Here is a 24406-nt window from a genome sequence, read left to right on the forward strand (position 1 = left end):
TCAGTAAAAGTTTCCTCAATGTCAAAGTGATAACTGGTGATTAAATTAACGTTTAGGAAAAAAAAGCTGTGAGATCACTTCTTTTTTCAACTAATATTAGGAATACTAGAAGTTGTAACTAGGGGTTGAGAAGAGTTAGAGGAAAATATAAAAGATGTAGCTTATAGGATTTTTCACTTTCTACTCAATAATATAGGGAGAGAATGACAAAACCAGGAGTCTCTGTCTAGGATTTTCATCCACAGAAAATACCATAGATTTGCCATCTGACAGAATCCATAGGCTGGGGGTCCACAGAATCTACAGTGAAAACCTATGGTGATTTCAACCTCAGAATTAAACAATGATTACATCATAGATTTTTCTAATCTATAAATGCTCATATATAATGTTCATTTAATTCTTTGCAAAAAGAAAAAAGTAAATCTTCGAAGAATAATTAATTGGAAGAAAGAATCACTAAAAACTTATATTATTTGTTAAAATTAATTTGTCTAAATATGTGGAGAAAAAATCCTGGAGAGTGCCAGTTAAATCAAAAATTTCCATATAAATGAAACTGGTATAACAATAACAACAAGCACAGTGGATCATACAACAAGCAAGAAAAATAAAAGTTCCCAACAATTCTTGCACTGTTGAGACAAAAGTGCTGGCTCTACATACTCCCTCCCTTTCCTGCCTAACTTCCTCAACTCCTCAAGGAGGGTCCTGCTCGTATCACAGGCATCACGGAGCCTCACTTTGCAGGCAGAGGAGGCAACAAATACCTCTCCTTCTGCCCCTTCTGTCTCCTCAGACAGGTATGACATAACTGGTAGATGCTCGAGGAGGAAGCAACTGTGGAGGAGAGACTCTTGGACATCCTTGCTGTTCTCTCTCCTTTCCTAGAGGAAACAGCTGGAGGTCCTTTTATGTGGGGAGCTCATTTGCCTTTGTAAAATCAAATGGAATCAGGAATTCAGTAGTTGTCTCTTTGAGGCTTACTCAAGTCAGGACTTTAAAAGAATGACTGGAAGAGTCCAAGCATGTTTCCCAGCTAAGACTTCAAGGGATCTGCATGTGACGGGGAGTTGGGGTAGCAACTCTCTTCAGGAATAAAGAGTGTACTAGAATACACAGAGTGGCCAGAGGATCCCCAAAGCTGAAACCCTAGGGAGTTCCATCTCTGCATCAGGTTACTGTGTCAAAAGGAAACGCCTCCTCCCCCAACAAAAATTATACAAGCCCCTACAGCTGGAATTCAGGAGGAGAAAGAAGAAAGAGAAATTCTTTGTACACTTTTCACGTGGTCCCAATTCATTTGTATGCCATGTTAAGGATTAAGATGATTCCTGCTCATGCTTGCTGACGTACATCCAAGATTATCCTGCTAAATCTCCAGAAATGCCAACTGGGAAACAAATGACAATTGTTCTCTTAAAAGATCTTTGTTTGACTGTGTGACTGTAATGGCCTGTTGGGCTCCTTCAAGTGCCAGCCTGAAGACAACAATGTAAAAAGGAAGAAAGAAAACCTTTGCAGAGCAGCAATCAAGGGCCACTGCAAGTCCAGCTCCACAAAGCCAGTGGCTGGCCTTTTAGCCAAGTGCTGAAGCAGAATGCCAGAACCAAGAGCAAGACAGACAGGCACCCGCGCATAGAGCCAGAGTAGTGCAAAGCTTCAGCACAGAACTGGGCAAAAGTTTCAGCAGTTGGGGCCAATTGTGCCCAGAGCTGGATTCAAGGCTGCTGAAGGAATCAGAACTCTTGGCACAGGAGAACTAGAGGTAGCCTTGCCAGCAGGTCCTGAAGAAGACCTGTGGTTCGCGCACACACATCCAGCAGTGCATAAGGCTAAGGTCTGACTGTCTACAATGACTCAACACCATCCAAGTTCCCTCTTCTGTCCTGTTCCTGTACAACCTTTCCCTTGCAAGGCTGCCCTCAGAGTTCATTTCACTCCATTTCCTCTGAGAAAAATTTCTCAGGACTTCCTGGGGAGAAGAGGCAAGGGAGAAAAGGAAGGCTTTATCGCACAGTGCAATTTCCTCTGCCTAGCACTTTCCCCTCCTCACCCTTTGCCTTAGGGGTGGTTCCACTTCAGCTCTGGAGAGGGTCTTGCCTCCTCTTCTGAGCTGCCATATGAGGCCCCATCTGCCTCCACAGCAATGTCAGCACACAATAAAGGGACACTCAGAGACCTACCCTTGCTCTCTTCCCATCTCTCATTGCTGTGATCAATGGAAGAAGCCTTAGCATCATGTCTAGGTTCCCAGGAGCCAAGTATAGGACTGTCCACTTGAGGAAACTCCTGTAGGTCCATCCACTTGGAAAGGCTCAGCCTTTAGAGAACAAACTGAAGTATTTGTTAAATGAAATGTATTTTCACTGACATTTGGGCTCTCGATTTCTGTTCTACCAGATTTTTCTTAACCCTCTTATTTTGTAATGGAATAGCTAAGATAACAAGGCAAGAGGAAAATGTACTCTTTATTTTAATAGTAGTTAATAAAGAGTACATTTATTTCATGTTTAACTACATTAAATCTTGCTTTAAAGCATTTGTTTTCATTATTGTACAAAGCCGATGGACAGGAACGCAAAGTTGGGAGCAAAAGCCAAAAGAAGCTTAAAGGTCTTATTTTAAACACACAACCTTTCTCTCAGAGCTGGCTCAAGGACCTGAATGAAGACAGACAAGTGCCACAGGTCCACTGCAGTCCTAGGGTGTCATAAGACAAAGGTCTTAGGAAAACTATGGAGCCAGACAAAGTGTTTTTAATCCATATTCCGAGGACTAGGTCCTGAAGGAATGTGTTTTCCAAGAGCCCTCAAGAATCCTACTAGCATTAGCTTGGTGAAGCTCAGTTATAAGGGGCAGTAATCCTGATGAAGGTCCAAAACAGGAAGGGAGAGGGTTCAGACTCCAGAGTTGGGCTCCAGAATTTAACTACTTCCAGCTGTGAAGTTGAGGGATGATACTGAACTTCTATAAGTTTCTACTGTCCTTGGCATAAAATGGGGATGATAATAATAACTACTACCTACTGAGCACATAGCACATGCCAGGCTGTGTCTGAGATTTTCCTACTTCAACTCAGTTCATCTTTGTTCACAACCCTAAGTTTTTTACTCATACCAACCCATTTGATCCTTACAACAATCCTAGGAAGTAGATTTTATGATTATCCCTATTTTATAGATTGAAAACAGAAACACAGAAAGGTTTAAGTACCTCATGATAAGATTGCCTGGCATATAGTAAGTACTCAATAAATGTTAGCTATTGTTACTTGCAGTAAGGATTTTATAAAGCCTTAAGCAGGTCGGAAGGATACACTGAATGAACAGAGCAAGATCATATGCTATGTAGTGTCTTTCAGACTTCATTTCTTAGTTCCAACTTCTTGCGTAAATTTGTGTAAACCAGCCACCTGCTTTACTGTCTCTTTTATTTCTCACCCAAGCACACACACAGACATATTTTCTCATACACATGTGCTCAGGCTCACCACACATGCCCAGACACATAGAGATGCTCTGGCAATTCTGAACTAGCTTGAAATACAGAGTTGCTTTAATTCACCAAAAACTTTAGATGAACAGTTTAGTTTGATTCTTTTGTGGCCTAGTTGATCTTAATGAGCAAATTCAGGAGATACTTTGACTTTAGAGGCCTTAGAAATACTTCCTGGCTTTTTCTTAACCGGCTAATCTGCAGCAATATTAAGCCTTATAACAACACGAATCACCTAAGTGTCAATACTCTGCTGCAGTAACTGGTCATGTTTCACGACTGCTCCCTACCTGCCCATGATGCTCCTCATCAGGAACTGACCGGACAGGTTCCTGGGCAGACCACAATACTTTAAGACAAGGGAATTGAGACTACCTCAGAGAAAATATCACATACACCACACACATGTGCTATAATGAGCAGGAAGAGAACTTAGCAGATACCCAGTTAAGACCCATCATCATAGAAGTGATACCTTTGGACTCACAGAGCTTGGAGGGGTTTCCCAGAGATTACACTATTGAAAAGGGCCTAGAACTGAAGTCTCCTTATTCAGAGTCTGGCTTTTTTTTCCCATTATACCTTATACTGCCTTCTTCATCTATAAAACAAATGTGCATTTATCCCTTTGGCTACATAGCATTTTCCCAAGAGGAAAAGAGGAGCCTGAGAATGTGAGAGGAACAAGAAAGAGGGCTAGAGGACAGGCCCACAGAATTGTGAAAGAATGCTTGGCATGGGCCTTAAGGAAAATAAATTTTGATTCCAAAATTAAAAAGAAAAATGTCAACTCCCTGAAATCTATTGAGACCCCAACAATTGTCCTTAATGAGGAAGCATAGAAATCACTCAGACAGTGAATGAAATCTTTCCAGAATGTTCTTCATGCTAAATCTCAACTTTTAGAAGTTAAATATTTGTTCTGTGCTTGTGGCTCCTTTAACTGGATTCTTCACAGATGGGCTGCAGAACAGGACATGTGTCTGTACCTTCAGGGATGGGAGCAGCACTTTGCTTCCTGCACCATCTGGTTCACTGTTCCTAGCTGTAGCATAGACCCCCACTACAGCCGAGTAATCAGAAAAAGTCAGAAGAACACCTCAGGGAAAACAATCTAGGATTCAGATTTAACTTCCTCTAAGGAGGATCAAACACTGAAAGACTGTTCCTTTTCAAGTTTTATTAATCCTGGTTCATAATTTCCACCACATCATTAGTCATTTCCTATTTCTGAAGGGCTGGCAGCAGTTGCCGAGGCATCAGGCAGTAAATGGCAAGACAACTGTGCCACCTGTGCACCGTATTGACAGTTACCCACAACAACATCTGGGTGAAAGGCTAATGTGTTTTTTTCTAAAAGGCAAGCCATTTAGAAGTGCAGCCCAGTTTTTGATCTCTTGCTAAATACTTTTATCCACATCATCTCCCCATTTGGGCCTGGAAGTCATCATGTGACCTATGGTACTTTGAAAAGAAAGCAGCAACAGCAACAACAGCAAATCTGCTGTAACCCTGGAGTAGGGTGAGCTCTCGAACTCCTCCCCCGCAAAAAAAGATGGGAATCTGCTTCTCACTGAGACAAACCCAAGAGCTGAAATTTAAAGAATGGAAAGTGACAAGAATGATGTCCCTTTTTAAAAGACCCCTTTTTAAAAACACATAGATGAAATGTAACTTATAAAGCACTTGAAAGCTGCCTAGTAAGACTAATTGCATGAGGGCTTCACCCAGCTCATCAAGGCACGTAGGCAGCCACATCCCACAGGGCATGACATCTCGATTTCCTAAGGTCAGAGAGTCTCCCATGTGACAGATAGAAAGGGTCTTTTAGTTCTGGGAACCAAATGGAGGGCTAAAAATGGGAAAAGGTACATAGCAGCTCTGTTGGCCAAGCCCCTGACTGGTGACTCTGCCTCTGATCCATCCCAAGAGCCATGGCTGGTCCCAGAAACCTCTGAGCTACATTTCCTCCCCTGGCAACTTCCTGTAACAAGGACTTTAAAGGAAACACAAATAAAGCTCATTTGGGGATATTTTAATTTTTAAAAGGCAAAACCCTAATACCTAGCCCTTAAATAGCATTTCCATCTGGATAATCCCAAGCACCCTGCCAACAGTTGGGTAATCACATCCCCACCTAGCAAAGAGGGAAATTCCCAGACTTATTACATCTCTCATGAAGGAATGAAAATTGAAGATAGCAAATTAAGGGGATAGATAGCTTTTCTCTATTACCATTCAAAACATAGAAATTTTCTTCAAGAACTATAACTTTGAGTGCCATGTGGGGTATTAAAACTGAGCCAGGATAAGTGTTCAGATACACAAGATAGCCCCCATCCATCTCCAACTCATCCAGCAATGGTAGCACCAGGAGGTCATAAAAATGCAATTCCACAGGGTGGTAGCATCAGCTACCATAGGAACAGGGGTGGAAAATTTGGAGAAAATAAATCTCTTGTTCTTTTTTTCTAATACTGGTCCCTGCTGTTACCTGCCAGCCTCAAAGTACAAAAAGCATCACAACATTCATCCCATTACATTTTAAGAAGTCTGTTCTGTACATCTGACCTCTTTTGATCTTTCAGAAGCTTCTAGGGAAAGACTAAATGTTCAAATTATAATCATGAATTAGAATTTTTCTTTTGGACTACATATGCATACATACAAACATGCATGCAAACACTATCCCAGCCTTTGACCTTATTTTAAATCCTCCAATTCCACTCTGATATCCCCCCTCTGGATTTTATGTGGTAGTCAACAATCCATTTATTAACTACTTGTCAAAGTATCAGGAAGGAGTAACTACCATTTCTTATTTTTGCCAATTACAATATTCCTCATCTTAGAGTGTTATCCCTGGTTTTACCACGAGGATAGTAAAAGGTTCATACAATAGGACTTGGGCTTTTATAGCAGACCGATTGTCACGATGGGCCCTTAATTTCCTTTCTACAATTTAACTCATTAAATTCTCATTATCTCTGTAATTTCCCTGTTCATATCCTCTCCAGCAAATCAGATATTGATGGCTAACCCTCCTGTCTATTTTAAAGAGAATCTGCCTCATTGATATACCCTTCTGAGGAGCTAAGGGATTCTAGCTCTCCCAATGAGCTTAATCATAATGAAGCCAGCACAAGAAAAGGAACTGTCTCAGAGTTCCTGATATGCTTGGTGTTTAGTCACAAGACCTTTAAATAACTCTGCCAAAGTCACTAGGGCCTTTCGTCCCGATTCCAAACCTCTTCCAAAGGACCCCCTACTATCACTGCAATTGCTGCAGTAGCTGAAACCAGTGTTGATTTTTATCTGCATGGCAACTTCATGCTCCCTCAGGATCCAAACTAATCAAGTGGCCTTCAAAAATGCCACCAATGCTTAAAAAGGCTGAGCTAAGCTCTGTACGATCAAGACAGAAAACGATCCCTTATCATGTCGGAAGTACTACTTGTGGTTATCTAAAGCAATGGTAATCATATCATACACTTTATCTGTGAGTGGCTTTTTCCTTCCAGGGGTAGGAATAGAAACTTCTTCTCCTTCATAATGAGCACTATTGAAACTTCAGCAGGCAGACCTCTAGCTTTGGCGACATGCCATTCCCTAAGGTAAGCATGTAACCATCTCAAAAAATGCAGCATGGCAGAAAACAAATACAAGTATTTTCTGAAAATATTATTTGTAAAGGTCTTATTTTATAATAGGGATTGTTTGTGTTAGGGCCTTGGGGCATGTATGGTTAACAAGAACTTGCAGTTCTGCTGCCAGCTTACTTAATCTCACAGGGTCGGTGTAGGAGTGTAGGGGATGGGTCCAAGAAACAATACAAGCTTTTTCCTTCGCAAGTACTGCTACATCTACATCATGAGAGAAAAGCACTCTGCTATTTAATCTCTCATAGTTCCTTTTGACAGATATTGTGGCTGTCACTGCACCACATCAAAACATATGCTGTACCAGATTCTCAGCACTCAAGAAGTCTTTAAAATAAAATCATCAAACAGTATTATTTGTTGGAAATGACATTCAACCGCAATTTCTTTGTGACTCCTCAGTCATGCAAACACCACAGCATTAGGTGCACACAAGCCAGAGACATTATAGGTCAAGCCCTCTGATGAAGGAACCACCACTGTCTACAAGAACACATTTTTAGGAGAGAAGTAAAATGATAGCTCCTTCTGCAAGAGAAGAAATTTATATTGGAAATCCAGAGCACAGTGCCAGGTACCCTGTGAGCTTGGCAAATATTAGTCCAGAGCGACTAAGGACTATAGATTTTGATTTTCCCCATATATCCCTCCTGGGCATCTGTCCCATTTGCTCCTGCCCAGTCCCGCAGACTTGCCTATCACTGCAGTTTTTGTCCCTGGTCCCAGATGATTATGCAACACTTATGCAAGATGCAAGGAGTAAAATGAACCCATTTGCCTATCGATATAGTTTTATTTCAGTGAATTAATGTCACTAAGAGAGAAACATATTCTAATGCCTAGGACAGTTGTGGTCCTTTTTGTATCTCTGTCATTGGGCTAGTGTCTTTGCCTACCTATAATGTAAATATATTATAGAGCAATATTACATATAATGCAAAGATAATCCAGACTACTTGCTCTGCTTTAGAAATGAACTGTGAGGATCAAATTTGTACAAACATGGGTCAAGCAAAAGCATACAGACTCTAGTGAAACCTAGAAAGTGTTTTTGGAATATTTTTGCTACAGATACTTTTCTATTAGGCTTTTATTAAATTGAAAGTAGTGTTGTTCTTATTTAGGTGTTAATTATTAAATTATGTACAAGTTTAGAAACTAGGCCATTGAAACACATAAAAGGTAGTTATTGAAAGCTAATCATAATAAGCTGTTGTCAACCTCTACTGAATAAAGAAGCAAAACATTTTAAATACATTGGAAATTTATATAAAACGAAGAACTTCCTGACAATGAAGATTGTTAAACATGAGTCCCTGCAACAAATGTCCTAAATAACTATTCCCAGGAAACTCTAAGATTGGGCTGCCTTAGGTGGTTTAAAAATATGGTCAGAGGCATGAGGAACTATTTCTAGATTTCTTATTGAAGTCCCTTTAAATAACATGGGTCTTCAGTCAACACATATGCTTGTACATGGGTGCCTGTTAGGGAATTCAGAGTCATAAGCAAACCTTGGAAAATGGACTTGATAGCTCAAAGCTCAAAGTTGCACATTCATAAACAAAATGTATGTACTTTTCTCTATATGACGAGATGGCTACAATCACCACTCTAAGCTGAAAAGTGGTATAAGAAAGGCTGGTGAGAAGACAAATTAATACCAATAAGATCGCTGATCTGTAGAGAAATAGAAAAGGCAAAGGGGCTCTTGAAAATAAAAGTTATTTGTTCCTAAATCCTGCTTCTTTGCTTGAAGCTATTTCTTAAGAAAGAAGCTGCTTCCTTCCCTAACCGTATAAAATGATCCCTGAAGTTATTTATAGTGTTCATGGCCTGGAGGCATCACTTGGTTCCCCCACCACAAGCCCAACCATGTGTTACTATATTAAAAAATGTGAAAAAGTAATTATGGGGTATGGGAGCCAGTGTCTGCAGACACAACCTGCCAAAGAGGAAGTGACAGGAAACTTATGCTCCTTGTTGCTGCTCAAGCACTGCCCAGGCTCCAGACTCAGAAGAAGGGAATCTGTTCCAAGAAATAGGAGAGAGGCCTGCCCTGGTGAATCAGAAATATCCCTGTTTCTGAATATACAGTAAACTGGTTTCCATTCCTGGGTCCCCTCAGTTGGTCAAACTTTCCAGTCACGTGGAGAGACCACTCACAGCATCCTCCCTCAGCAACTCAGCCAGATGGCTGCCTCAGCTCCCACCAGACCGGGCAGGCTAGAACATGTAAGGTTCTGAACTTGGGCAAGAGTCTAAGGTCACTATAACTGGCCCCTAAGACTCTGACCTGCCACTGTCAGATCTCAAGTTCTGCCACCTTATCCTAAATCTAGCTTTGTTGTTCCTCTTCCCACTTCCATCCCCAGTTCCTTGCCCTCAGGTAGGATGCGATAATCAATCTATTACTGATTTCTACAGCAGTCCTCCACATATTCACAAACCCCTCAGCTTTCCTCTGGAACAATGGACTCCACCAGCATAGGGACACAATTGTTTTCTACCGCTGGAGGCAGAGAGGAAAAGTAGCTCAAACATCTGCCCCCAGAGAGCATAAATTTGTCAGGGAGAGAAGTCCACATTTCTGCAGAAAGGCCAGTGTTCCCAAGAGGCCTTAGCTTAGGAAATGTTTATTGAGAGGAATTACATTTCCTTCTCAGGACCTGCCTCTGCCTCTGGTCTAAGCTACAAAAGAAGTTTTCTTCTGATGTCTCAGGAAAAAAGAAAAAAGCACCAACCCTCACAAAAGAACCCTGGTAGTATGGACAATTCCTACTATCTCAAGAAGATTTCACTTGGAAGTAAATAATCGTTGCCACCTCTGAATTCAATTTGATTACCTAGATAAATCACTACATGAACTTCCAAAGAAGCAAACTTTACCCCAAAAAGTATGTTATAAAAGTTGATTTACAGAAGTCTCTTTCAAATAAATTCTTAAAGAGAATCATAGACAACAAAGAATGCAGAAGCTAATGCAGGTCAAGAAAATGTCCTTACTATCTCTTTAATATAATAAAATAAATCAAATTAACATGTTTCCTTAGTGAATAATATTCTCTAAGCATGAAATGTAATTTTTAATACTTTATATACACCAGGCTTGAGTTCCTATTTTACATGCTATGGTTTTAGAATATGTGTAAATGTTTATTTCTAAAATTACCTAAAAATCTTCTGTTCAAGTTTGTTTTTCAACTCAGGGCAGTAGCATATAAGTAGAATTTAAGCAGATATCAATTGTATCACTGGAAAGACTTTAAAAATCAGAGAAATGTTCTTATAAGGCAAATCCATGGCAGCCTTCCACATTCAGAGACTGGTTTATAGCTTTCTGAGATGCCCTGTTAACCTCTCAAAGATCTGTAGACTAGCTTATATTATCTCATTATCCGAGTTCTCCCCGCTTTCATCTTTGCCTCCTATATCCCAGTTTCTTCACCACTGTAGTATCCACAGTGCCACCTGCTGGTTGTAGAAAGTATTTTTGTGGCTCCAAGGTCTCCCTCCGGGATTTGTTTAATTAAAGTCTACCAATGACTGCTAGAAAAGCCACAGCCATAGTGGACAAATCCATGAAATGAGCAAAATGTCAATTCATGAAGGGTTAACATGACCCAACATATGCTGAGGCAAAGTTTTGGCTATTTTAAAGGCAAACCTAAGTTGCCTGAGTTAAACCTAACACATGCAAATTTGCCTCAGGCAGCTTGGCAATAGGGCTCTGTGTAAGAATACAAAAAAAAAATGATTACCAAGACTAAATGCCTCAGAAAGTTTCCAAAATCCTTTATTTCCTCGTACCTGTCAATCCTAGACTTCCACTTTTTTTTTCTTTTCTTAGACAAGTATTTTCAACTTTCCAAAGGTATGAAATTTGCCATCTTAATTGTTTAGACAGGAATAAAGCATTAACTCAGTCCCTTGACTTTGATTCATAGCAGCTCTTCCTTCACCAAAAGTTACAGTCTCCCTCTCCACCCCAGCCTGAAGTCTGTGGACCAGCACAGAAATGACAGGCACCAGAGCATCTGCAGGCATGTGAAAATGCAGTGCTCCCTTCCCATACTTAACCTTTCAGATGGTTCAACTATTTCCCATGTGTCAACAATCGCCATTCGCATCTTAGGCCTTAACCAGGCAAAAGATAAGAGAGAATAACCTTTAGAACCCACAACTAGCCGGACGCGGTGGCTCATGCCTGTAATCCCAGCACTTTGGGAGGCCGAGGTGGGCGGATCACTTGAGGTCAGGAGTTTGAGATCAGCCTGGCCAACATGGTGAAACCCTGTCTCTACAGAAAAATACAAAAATTAGCCAGGTGTGGTGGTGCGTGATTGTAATCCCAGCTGCTTGGGAGGCTGAGGCAAGAGAATCACTTAAACCCAGGAGACTGAGGTTGCAGTGAGCTGAGATCGTGCCACTGCACTCCAGCCTGGGCAACAGAGCAAGACTCCGAAAAAAAAAATATATATATATATAAAGAAATAACTAACAACTAACGAATAAGAAGTCATTCCTGCAAGCCTCATCATGATGGGGTACAGTAAGGCACAGGGAAAATGTTTTTGCCTTAAGACTCCTGACAAGGATTAATCAACTTTTTTAACAATCCCCTGGGGTGTAGACTGGCACAGGGTCATTACCCCTCTTTAGCAGGTGGGCGAACTAAGATCCACAAAGTTTACCATTTCATCATCAATTCTGTTCAGAATATCATCAATTCGCTGACATTCTGATGCGACAGTGAAAAAAAGGTGCTGCAAGAAGCTTCTCAATAACTAAGCTTAATGCAGAAAATATACCCAAGTCAGGAGGTACAAATACACTGGACAAGTATTGACCCAACTCGTAGTCATTTTATCAGAACAGGTTATTTGAGAAACGTAGTCATTTTATCAGAACAGATTATTTGAGAAACGTAGATTCTCTACCTATGAATCTGCAAGATTTAGATTAGATTATAACTGAGTAATCATTTTTAAGAAATTATTGTGTCTATTGGCATTCAGTTGAGGGGGTTTCCTTTTTCTCTTCACTCTTCACTCACTCCCATTTAAAGGCTAAACATGGAACTGCAGATAGAGGACAGAGATCACAAATGTTCACCTTTAGCTCTATCTGGCACATTCTCCCATTTTAATTGTCTTTGCTTTTGTGTTCCCCTTTCTAAAAGTATAAACTATATCCTGACATTTTCCTGCCTTCTGCCAAATTCGGAAACTGTCACGTTTTCTTTTTTTCTTTTGGTCTATAAACTTCAAAATATTTTCTGTCAAGCTGGCAAAGCTCCAATCTGCCCTTCACCGCTGCAATTAAAGTGATTTTCCATCTGAATATAACCCTGACATGGAGAGGAATTATAAGAGTTCTATATAAATCTATTTTGATAGATTAGTTCCCTCACTGAGCATATTTTTGTACTCATCACAAGCATTTATACATATCCAGATTATTCTAAGAATTGTGAATCAAAATAAGAGCAGGGTTACTACTAAAAGGAAAAGCTGAATTTTGGGTCCCCCTTTAAAAGAAGCAATAACCTAGAAAGCAAAAAACAAAACAAAACCCAAAGAAATATTTTATTTATTTCACACAGATGTAACGAAATAACCTAAAACCATGGTAGAGCCAGATAAAGTCAAACCATACATACAACCTAGAGGAGATGGTGCAGCAGAGAATACTGTTATAAAGCATTATTCTTATGTCATCATGGCTTCCAGAAAATACTCAACGCTCCAATATTTGTCCACTTAATACAGGATTCACTTCTCAGCCGAGGAGGACCTTAGTAACAGTACACTTAGCACTCAGCAGTTATTTGACCTATTTTACTAATGTGTTTGGGAAGGAGGTTAATTAAAAGTGGATGGCTATATCCTTAAGCTTAATTTTTCCAACAGCCCTGCTCATAAAAGGAAAAATTTAGTATGTATTGAAGGAAGCAAGCAATTAAGTTGCACAAATAGTGAGCTCATTGAACTGCGGCTGACTTCTATCATGTCAAAGAACAACTAAACACAGAAGCAATAAAAAGATTGTTGCCACGACCACCACTGAGAACCGACTGGCAATAAAGATGAATAACTTCCTACTTGAAGATTACTGATTAAAGCTTTTTAGAAACCAAATGTTACACATAGGCATAAATGGAGCAAAATATTTTAATGCGTGTTTGGCAGGTTCAGAAACACTTTATAGTCAATTTTAAATGAAGGTTTATACAACAACAGTAAACTCCACTTAAAACAGCCTTTCCAATTGCTGCTGCTGCAAGAAAGCTGCAGTGCTCCTCAGGAAGGCTTGAGTCATAACTGTGGAATAAAAGTCCCATACCTAACAGTAAGGGGAGGGTCGATGGGGAGTGGAATTCCACAGGACCAAGTCCTCTGAAATCAAACCCAAGAGCAGAGCCAGAGAAGTCCATTCAGATGCCTGTGACCCTTGAAGGCAAGTAAACAGACTCCCTATAGCAATAACCAGGAAATCTCTCTCTCCCCGGCAGCCCTCTGCTCCTCTTCCCACCTCTCAAAGCTCCCAAAGGTCAAGTTTTAGCCCAACCTGCCCTTCAAGAAAGTGCACTCACATCTAGGAGTTCAACACAGGTTGGCATCAGAATTGGCTCCCAGGACTATCAGTGTCAGTGAGGTGGGACGGGCATGATTTGACAAGGAAAATGTGTCTGACAGAGGATTTGGCTCTCAACTTACAAGTGTATACGGAGGTGGGTGGAGAATATCAGCTTCTTTGAGGGCTGGACCCTACCACTTACCTGCTGCCTTTGGACGGGATACTATGGAGGGTTAAAAAAAAATAAAAAGACAAAAAGAGGAGGATTTTTGCCTTCAAGGTTGCTTATAACCTAACATTAAATAAATAAGTTGTCCTTTGCATTGCATTGCCCTCAAACTCACTACTGTGGAGAATTAAAACCAGCCTATTGCAAATAAACCAGTTTGCCATCCCATATCTATCCTTCTCCTCCTGCTAGCTCCATCTTAGAATGTCTCTAAAATGGGAGGGGGCTAAAAATACACTTTTCTTCTGACCACTTCCTCCTCAACTTGGGCTTTAAGGGATCAGAGTCCAGCAATGAGATGATGATATGCTTTTCCCTTTCCTGAGCTCCAACCCTTTACTCCTTCACTCAGATATGTCTGCAGTGAGCTCCTATGGGGCTTGTTTCTTCTTTCTGTACCACACAGCACCCATCAATGTGCTGGGTATTCTGTAGTTGTTTAGTATATGCTTTTTAGCTACCATCAGTGGGAAAGGCTTACCATATTTCTGCCCCTTTCAAAGATGTATTTTCTCTTAATCATTGCTGCTGCAATCATCAAAGTAATTGAAACTGGAGAAACGATTTTGTGTCATAACATGAAGGGAAAAAAGTAAAAAGCAAATGTAGTGTTCTCAACTTGCTTGGGTGGGAAATGGGACACAAAATGGTCTGAATAAATTGTTAATGCTCAGATAAAGCACACGGCACCTCAAATTTACACTCTAGTTGGATCGATCCACCCATTACATGCTATTTTCCAGAGATTCAGAGCTGAATTTGCTGTTTGGGATTTGTATTCAATGTGGGGAATTCTAACTGCAAATCAAATTCATACTGCAAACATCAGAATGGCTTTATCAGATGAGGAGTAGATATTTGGAATTTAATAACACTTCCCATCACCTTTCAAGAGGACTTGTCATTGAATATATGGTGTGCAAATCTGGTAAAGAAAAAAGAAGAGTTTGATTATTTGTACAAATTACATTTCATTTGCAGGAGGAAATCACAGTGGCACAAGTCCTTCCTTCCATTTAGGTTTCTCCACCTAGAAGTTGTACAGGGCCTTTCAGCTCCAGGCTCTCCATTAAGACATTCTAACACTATACACTAAAAGTCTGGAGATAGAATGAATTGTACAGCACAGGAAGGGGGGTGGAAGAAGAAAGTAGCAACAGTTCAGAGATGGGAATTGTCTGCTCTCTGGAAACCCCTCCAGCCTTAGATTCACTATTCAAACTCCAAAGGCCAAGACTCTCCAGTTCCCCTGTGTAAGGGAATAAGAAAAATGCCCAGGAAAGCCCACGGTTTCCTTCCTTATGAAGGAGAGGAAGCAGCAGCGGTAGCAGACGCCCAAGTGCAGCCATCACTTCCTCGGGGGCTGGTGTCCATTTCCACCCACGGGGATGGGGTCTGGCAGCTTTGTAACCGGGAGGAGATACATGATCCAAGAATCCACTTTGGCTCCAATTTACCTTTATAAAGGCCAGTTCTGTCTAACTCTGAGAATCCTATAAGCATTAGTGAGGATTTCTAATTGTCTCATCCATAGGAGCATGGCCAGAGAAAGGGGAGTTAGGTCAAAGAGTTCACCTTGAGTAAGGCTCAAGATACTCCTCACAGACACATTGAGATTATGGTAAATAGGAATGCATTCATAAGTAGTAGAGAGCAGATATACCTTTTCTTCCCCTCTGAGGAATCAGAAAGTGTCAGGGTCCTACATTTAAAGGAAAATAGAGTATAATTCTAACAATGGAATCCAAAAAAGAATGGCTGTAACAATCTAGTTCAAAAGAAGAAAGAAATGGTATGTATAATCATAGTGTATTATAAATGTCAATTTACACAATCATTGTTTTCTCCTTCAAACCTTCTTCTCTTAAAGTTCTTTCTCTCAGTTCATGGTTTCTTCTTTTGCTAACCACCTGAACTACAAACTTCAGAGTCATCTGTAAATCACCTCTGAATCCCACCACATCCAGTTCTAGACTCAGAATGTCTCTCATTTCTGCTTTTATTATCACTGTCCTACGTCACTTCACCTATACCTGGATTATTACAATAGCCTGCCAATGGATCCCTGTCTCCACTTGCTTTGTCTCTACCCCAAGTTATCTTTAACATCCTGAACAGTTACCTTTCTAAAGTCAGTTATAATCATGGGCACCTCCTCACTCCAAACACTTTTACCAGCTTTCTGGGTTTTTTTATTAATAAAGTCCAAATTTCTTAGCATAATGTTCAGTGTTCCTCAGGAACTGAAAATACTCTATTCTTTGAAACTCACCTGTCATTTGCTCCTCATACACACCTCGCACACAGCTAATGCTCAAGTAGAAACAGACCTCTCTCCTTTCCTTGATTGTATTATGGGCTTTCACTCTTCTGGAACTTAGCACATTTCCTCCATCTTTGCCTATTCAAAATCTTGTTTCTCCTTTAAGGACTAATTCAAATGTCACCATCTCTAGGAAACCTTACTGGATTCCTAGGCAAAATAAATTGTCCTCTCCTCAGGGAACATATGACACTGTGTTTACCCCTTTTTACCATGTTTATCCCAATCTGACTTACATTCATTATGGCAGAATTTTCCATCTCCTTCTAAAGGACAGAGAGAGTAGTTAATCCCTCCAAAAATGATCCCAAGTACCCAGCATGGTGCCTTAAACAGCACAGGCATTTTATAAACATTTGTTATATTAAACTGACCAGTACACAAATTAGGAATTTTCACTAAAAGTTGACTGGATGGAAGACCAAGCTGAGAATCATAATCAAGGACAACTCACAGGGAAGGAACGAATTTGAGTAAATGCTGCCCAGAGGCCCATGAATAAATATTTTATAAATTAATACAGATGGCCTGATCCATTACTTATCAACATTTTTGTCATGGCACATACTTGTGAAGGGGTTGACTGTGATTGAGAACTGCCACTCTAACTAAATGGAGAAACTACCTCTTTTTCAGCAGTAGGAAGGTAAATGCTGTATTTGAAAGAACTCAATCAGGGACTGACAGATAAACAACACAATAAAAAAACTGTATATACAAAATATAAAGATTATATATACCATATAGTTGCATAAATATATATATATATATATATTTTTTTTTTTGAAACAGGGTCTTGCTCTGTCACCTAGGCTGTAGTGCACCTGTGCAATGATAGCTTATTGCAGCCTCCAACACCTGGGCTCAAGCAATTGTCCCACCTCAGCCTCTCAAGTGTCTGGGACTACAGGTGTGCACTGCCATGTCCAGCTAAGTTTTTTTATTTTTTGTAGTGACAAGGTCTCGTTATGTTGCCCAGGCTGGTCTCAAATTCCTGACCTCAAGTGATCCTCCCACCACAGTCTCCCAAAGTGCTGGGATTACAGGCATGAACTATCACACCTGGCCAGATATTATTATATATCTGAGAAACTATTTCATTTAAACATGTCTACACACAGAGATATAATGATGTCTTAGTAAAATAAATATTTAGTTCACCTTTTTGCCGTAATTCCAAAGGGGGAAAAAAAGCCAAAACCAAAACCACCTCTTTAGCCTTATTAGCATTAAGTAATCAAATTCCACTAACCTGAGCAACATAACGAGACCCTGTGTCTACAAATAATTTTTTAAAAATAGAAGGGCATGGTGGCACTTGTCTGTGGTCCCAGTTACTGGGGAGGCTGAGGTGGGAGAATCTTTTGAGCCCAGGAGGTCAAGGTTGCACTGAGCCATGATCGTAGCACCACACTCCAGTCTGTGCAACAGGGTGAGATCCTGTCTCCAAAAACAATCAACAACAGCTCCCTGTCACTCAGAAATCTGAGACAGACTCATTGCAGTTCTCCTCATTCTTACCTGGAATAAAAAATGAACTCAAACTTCCAGAAGAAAAGCACAATTTTTCAAAATCTCCTCATACAAGTCTTGCCTCTCCCCTAAAACTTTTCTGAGTCAACTCTTCCTGAGATGAATCACATTAAGAAATGAATCTCTTAATTGTACCACATAAGCTAAACAGTAAGCCATGACCTCATCACCCTGGACATAATAAAAGGGCAGAAACACTTGGGCATTTCAACAACATCTTAATTCCTGCACTGTTCTGGTTTATTATAAAGCAGGCCTGTGTGCAGGAAGACATTTTTTAAAAATGCTTTTATCTTCTTTTTGCATGTTAGCAGATCTCATGGTCTCTTTTCTTTGCAGATGGAAGCCTGAAATGTGCAAAAGCCAGGCAGGCAGACCAATGCATTTATTTGAGAAATAAAAAAAAACCCAGTCATGAAAATGACACATGGATTCAAGATGAGCTAGAAGCAGAAGGACCTTAAACTACACAATTACTCCCCACAAGCTCAAGCCAGAATCAAACAAAAACCAGAAATAAACAAAACCTGGAGCTGAACAAATATCTGAATGCCACAGCCAGACTAAAGAAGAAACAAGAAGAAACTGATGTAACTGGGCTTGAGAAGAAACAAGGTAGAAGCACAATGCCACATCCCTTAGGTAGCATATAATTTTCTGAGCCTTGATTTACCATGACATCCTTTGTGTGATGATTACCGGTAACATTCTCATTTTGCTAGAGGTAGCACTAGTAGGTCCAATCTATATGTGGATACTCTACAGAGTGCATCCCATATGGGCACAAATCTTTATCAACTCTATCTGGAATTGATGAGTAAGCATCCCTAACATAATGGTCCAATGAATTATTTGAATAATTTTCTGAAAAAGTTAATCGCTCTGTATGGAAGAGAATGTACTTGTGTTAGTTCTATAAGTAATGCTAAATATAGATATTTAAACAAGAGTTAACACTTTAGCCTGTTAAAATCACAAAATGCATTTAACGTGTTTAGGGGGATGGAAATTGCCTCCAACATATCAGAGAGGCAGCAAAATCAACAATATTAGCTAATTCTATAGGCTCAAACACTGACCCAGAGTGAATATTCTTCCTTTGCATCAGTTCTTAGCCACATAGGTCTCTTCATTCCAAGTGGTTTTAGATGGTGCTATTGCTTGAAAATAGCTGTGAGCATGCTATTTTGCATTCCACTGTTTCTCGCAGTCAGAGAGTCTCAATCAATGGGCCCTTCTGTCCTCAGTGTCCCAGTTAGGACTTCACCTTAAGACTAGGCTCACAGGAGAGAGTGGCAAAATGGAAAACTTACCTGGAAGCACATAGACCTGGGTTCAAAATTCACCCATAATATATTCCATAGAGCTGCATGGATCCCAAAATCTCAGTTTTGCCACCTGTGAAAAGGGAATAACCATTTTTATTAGCGATCTGAGACTGAATAGCTATGAAGCAGTGATTTAGAAATGGAGCTAATTCTACAGGCAGACACTGTGGTAAAGATGAGGCATATTTCTCATGAAAACTCTTCAGAAAGAGTGGACCAGATTGTCAGAAGTGACCAATTCTCAGAAAGATTCTGTTTCATAATCAAAATGAAATCCCTTTCTGTAATTGTCAACGTCAAACTTTAGTTTCATGATTGATGTGGGCTTTAAGTTGCTAATATTTAAAAAGGCACTTCATTGACTGTGGCACACACATTTTCAGCAATCACATTTCTACAAGAAAGATACCACAGGAGGAAAAAAGCCTACTATAAAAATCTTTTGTATATATACCTTGAAGAGCTCATTTCTAGGAATAGTCTGACACCTTTAGAAGATAAACAGTACTGTCTCAATCAATTACAAAGATTTTAAGGAAGACAATACCGCTAAACCCTATGCATTGGTGGAGTTATAATTTATTCATATATCATTTAAGAAAAGCATTGAACCAAATACTTTCCTTCCTTCCATGTATTCAACACTGAAAGGCAGCAAAAGGAAAAGGAGAAAGGAGGTCCAACTTCCCAGGATTCCCTTCCTGAAAAGAAATTTCCACTTTACTAAGTAGGAATGAGGAAAGGCGTGTGCATTTGCATAATTTCCAAGACATTTCTGGACTCCCTAAATAGGAAACAGTATATTTGGAATACTTAAAAAAAAAAAAAAAAACCTTTGTACTTAATTTAACTACAAATTGGTTGGGTTTTCTAGAGAAGTGGAGGGATGCTAATGTGAGAAACAAAGATTAAATATTCAAGGCCATAATAATAATATATGAATTTAATGCTATTCTAGGATTTTTTCCATCCAATTTTAAGTATATAAAAATGATTTTCATATAAGGATTTGGGGACAGAAATATTCTTGTTACTATTTTCACGATTTACACAATATCCTTGAGCAGCCTTATTTTATCTTTGCTGCTGTTTGCTGACTTGTCGGTGTTTAGATCAAGTTTTAATATTTGCATCTTTAGCTCACCACACAAAGGCAGCTGGTCCAGAGAGGTGAGGAACAGGGAGAGAGGAGTTGCAGGGCTTATCAGGTTATCCAAAAGGCCTTGTGCTCATCCTTTGTAAACAACAAGACATGTCAGCATCCCTGGTTGCTGTCATTGCTGACAGTCCTCTGAAGACCAGTAAGTGTTGAATTCTTTAAAGCTGGATTGTGCCCAGTGAGAGAAACGATGGTGTGAGATGAGGAGGACTTCGTGGATATCTGAGTACCTTGGGAAAAGAGAGGAATTGAGGCTTTTCACTCAGCAACCTAATGAAAACTAGACAAATAGTCTTGCATTTAATATATAGTTTTCACCAATTCATGCTTCTTTTGTTAGGAACAATTCTAGCCTGTATAGGAAAAAAGACAGATATAAGGAAATAATTTCTCATTGACAAGGGAGCTTCAGGTAAAGCAATGCTTATGAAAGGACAAGAGACTAAGTTTACATTGGTAAATTTCCATTGTGCAACCATTTCATTACTTTAACTTCATAGACCCCAAAACTTTATGTGCTTGAACAAGTAATCAAATGCAAAGGATAGAACTAAATAATCCATCTGGGATAGCGAGGACTGTATACAAAACACAAAGAATAAAATACAAGTCTTTAAGGAATATGAATAAGAAATCGTGGCACAGAAGGGAAGACTTGAAAATAAGTTCCAAAAGCAGTATCTAGTGCTTTAAAGAATAATGAAATTTACATGCTCTGCTTTAAAATCCAAAAAGGTATATTTTGAACAAAGATACACTTGTATAATAGGTTCAGTAAAAATCCTAATCCATGTGATTCTTCATTATATCTAACCTCAAACTTTTAAAATGTATAAAATGAATATCAAATTCTTTTCATGGAGACTGATAGCATACGTTGAATTAGAATAAATTCCACATTATAGTATGAAACACTCATAACAGCAACGAGTAATATGCTATATTCAAGACTTCCTTTGTTATGACATTTAAGCTATGGATTTTGAGGTTAATAATGATTCAGGGGAGTAAATTCTTTTCCAGTGTTTCCATTTTCTTCTTCTTAGGATAATCTCCTAAAAGTATTTGCTCCATTAAATGATCTAAAATGTTTGAGAGGACAAAATGTCTTAGGCCTACTTGTAAAATATTAGGCTCCAAAACTTTGAAAAGGATCATCCTTCCAATATAAAATCCATCCTTGAAATAAGGATTATGTATCTCTAAAACAAGGCCAGGACTTAGCATTCCATTAATCTAACAATATAGTATTTAACTTGGATTTTTATTTGTTCCTGTATCATAAACACTATTTGATGATACAGAATAGAATCATAGATTAATCTTCCCAAGTTGGCTTTTTCTTTTTTTTTAAGCCTCTTCAATCTTCTTGACTGAAACTACCAGACCATTATCTTACATAGCTATAGGTTAAGCACAGAGCCTGGAAGTCCGTCTGAACCACAGAATGAGAGAACAATTTAGAAAAAAAAATTGCAAAATTCTGGGAACTAAATAAAAAGTCACTCGTTTTCCTAATTTTTCTATGAGCAGAAAAGCAAAAGACCCATTGGCATGGCCCAGGCAGATACTACCGAACAGCTTTCCAAAGAGCAAATGGTAAAAATAAAATAAAATGAAAAAGATTTGCCTGTCATGGGAGTTGGTCAATAAAATGCAACAGTGTTTATTACAACATTTAAAGTCTGTGATTAAGAACACCAAAAGGCCTAAACTAGAAAGGTTTTCAGCCTGTAATTTCCCTGCAGTCCTGGCCTGTACTTCCTTATGAGTTAGCTCAGCGGGGCTTTTTTTCCATGTCCATCATCAGCTTGTAATTATTGCCATTCTCAAAGCTATGCCAGATGGGTCTTTAGAAGCAGGCATGCAGCTTGTTTATGAGAGAAAGAGCTGTAATATTACTCTACACAGAGACCTATCTGGTCCTACTCAAAGAGCGCTGCTCCTCCCTCCCCTCCTCCCCCAGATCTCCCCTACTACCATTCTCTCTGCCTTCCCTAGACAACCTCTCATTTTCAGCTCCCTGTCCCAGCTGAATGGCCTGGTGACTGGCTGGGACCATGGGGGCCAAGAGATAGCTATATCTTAAAGCACATGGTCTAATCATCACCTTTCACCATTCACATATGAAAATGAGGCAACACCCAGGGAAAAACAAAATGTGGACTCTTTCTCCTACATAATGTTGTGCAGAGGCTTATTTAAAACACCACAGCTGAGCATCTACCTTTCGGAATACAGATCTGCAGAGATGTCAAAATGATGCATTCCATTTCGCTTTTCTGAAAATTCCTCATTGGCTAGAAGCGAGATTCCCAGCAAGATTCTCCCTTTGCCTGGTAGGAAGGATAAACATTTGTAAGAAGGTTGAGGTCAAGGAGCTGTGCAAAGCAACATAGGGAAAGGCAAGAGCGCCTAAGCCGGGTTCATCTGGTGATAGGCCCTGGGGTGTTAGGTATCCCAGAGGGCCAAGCAGAGCTTCAATCAGCAGTTAATGAGGCAAGACCTGCAACAGATAGCCACTTTTAACTTACAAAAGCTTTTAGATGTCTCTGTTTACTTTGATCCATTTCAGTTAATTTGAGCTTGGTTAGGGTGCATTTTCCTTTTTTTTCCTAGATAAACCCCCTGCTCCCACCCCACCCCCACCCCCAACCTCACCCCCACCTCCACCTCCCAAACAATAGTATCATTTACCAACTTTATACTTAACAAGTTTTGAGGTCTTCTGTGAAGGTCGGCAACAATTATGTAAAAAACAAGGAAAGAAGGACCTGTACCATAGTCTGACTCTAGGACGAAAATTTCAAAATCCCACCAGTGTTAAGATAAATGAAAAGGGTGGCGGGACAGGAAAGGCTGAATTTTGAAGGGAGATTTAAAGTTATTTGTTTCTGATTAGGTGAAGTACATGTTCTTTTATCCCTTGTTATTTTACTCATGTGATGACCAGAGAGCTTTGTTAAAATGTTTCAGAGCGGATAAAACTAATTTACTGGAATGTGAAATAATCCAGAAAGAAACCGTACCTGATGGTCACAGGCGGGGAAGGCACTTTAATAAACTGGCCGGAGTTTCCAGGCCCCGGGGCTGCGGCTGGGATTCCTGATTTGGGAAGCAGGGAAGAATCCTGCGTTAATGGATTTGCACGTGGGTCAGCCTGTTAATGGGGATGGGCTAGTGTAATGAGCTTTTAATTAGGTCAGCTAGATGCTTGACCCCACTATACTGTGTGCCTGCGCCTGGGGGTACCTCCCCAGCCTCAGGAGCGGGATAAACAGTCCTGAGAGCCTTCCCAGCATGCCCCAGACAACCTCGATCCCGGCATGCTCCGGGCAGCTGCCTTCCCAGCATGCCCCGCCGGCCTCTCCTGTGCCCTAGACCCGTTAGCCTCTTGCAGACACCCTTTTCTTAATTCCCTCCCCTCCTTCCCTTGTGTGCCATGTTCTACCAAAGCAGTTTTTCTTTTTAATTTTTTTTTATTTTTTTTTTTTTTGAGACGGAGTCTCGCTCTGTCGCCCAAGCTGGAGTGCAGTGGCGCGATCTCGGCTCACTGCAATCTCTGCCTCCCTGGTTCAAGAGATTCTCCTGCCTCAGCCTCCCAAGTAGCTGGGACTACAGGTGTCCGCCACTATGCCCAGCCGATTTTTGTATTTTCAGTAGAGATGGGGTTTCACCATATTGGCCAGGCTGGTCTAGAACTCCTGACCTAGTGATCCGCCCGCCTCGGCCTCCCAAAGTGCTGGGATTACAGGCGTGAGCCACCGCACCCACCAGTTTTTCTTAGTAAAAAATACATAAATACGTGTGTGTGTGTGTGTGTGTGTGTGTGTGTGTGTGTGTGTGTGTGTATATATATATATGTATTATTTGAGGCAAATTTGTGTATTTATAAAGCCCCCAGGTCTTCTAGCTGGTAAAATTAATTTCACAAATACACATGGACAGGTTTGGTTTGATATATATATTCCTCAAAAATAAACTTTTTTCAAATGAACCATATTCCTATTCTCCACTCCCCACCCCTGCCCTGTCTTCTACATTTCCAGGCAGTATTACGAAGACACGTAAGTTAATAGAAGGAACAGGATGAAATCC

The 24406-nt window shown here is 40.1% G+C and overlaps 1 long non-coding RNA gene across 4 annotated transcripts in view, besides 1 other annotated feature; it reads right to left on the reverse strand.

Moving 5' to 3' along the window:
• The window catches only part of LOC105370507 (uncharacterized), a 144575-nt gene extending 121013 nt beyond the window's left edge, over positions 1-23562 (reverse strand). For 3 of the 4 annotated variants that reach the window (XR_943883.3, XR_943882.3, XR_943884.2), the window contains exons 1-4: positions 23338-23562; positions 22536-22644; positions 20294-20538; positions 19135-19219 (exon numbers count right to left, since the gene is read on the reverse strand). This is a non-coding gene — a long non-coding RNA (uncharacterized LOC105370507). Of the gene's footprint in view, positions 1-19134; positions 19220-19802; positions 19851-20293; positions 20539-22535; positions 22645-23337 lie in introns of those variants that run through there. The other variant, XR_001750980.2, reaches the window with a different exon arrangement.
• Positions 12999-13293: a silencer, noted in NCBI's record as "tiled region #14732; HepG2 Repressive non-DNase unmatched - State 7:EnhWF". NCBI's record gives its function as "represses a minimal TATA promoter and a strong SV40 promoter by Sharpr-MPRA in HepG2 cells {active_cell/tissue: HepG2}" and the evidence as "EXISTENCE:reporter gene assay evidence [ECO:0000049][PMID:27701403]".
• Positions 23563-24406: the final 844 nt, after the last annotated feature.

The sequence above is a fragment of the Homo sapiens genome, chromosome 14, assembly GCF_000001405.40.
Source record: "Homo sapiens chromosome 14, GRCh38.p14 Primary Assembly".
NCBI lineage: Eukaryota > Metazoa > Chordata > Mammalia > Primates > Hominidae > Homo > Homo sapiens.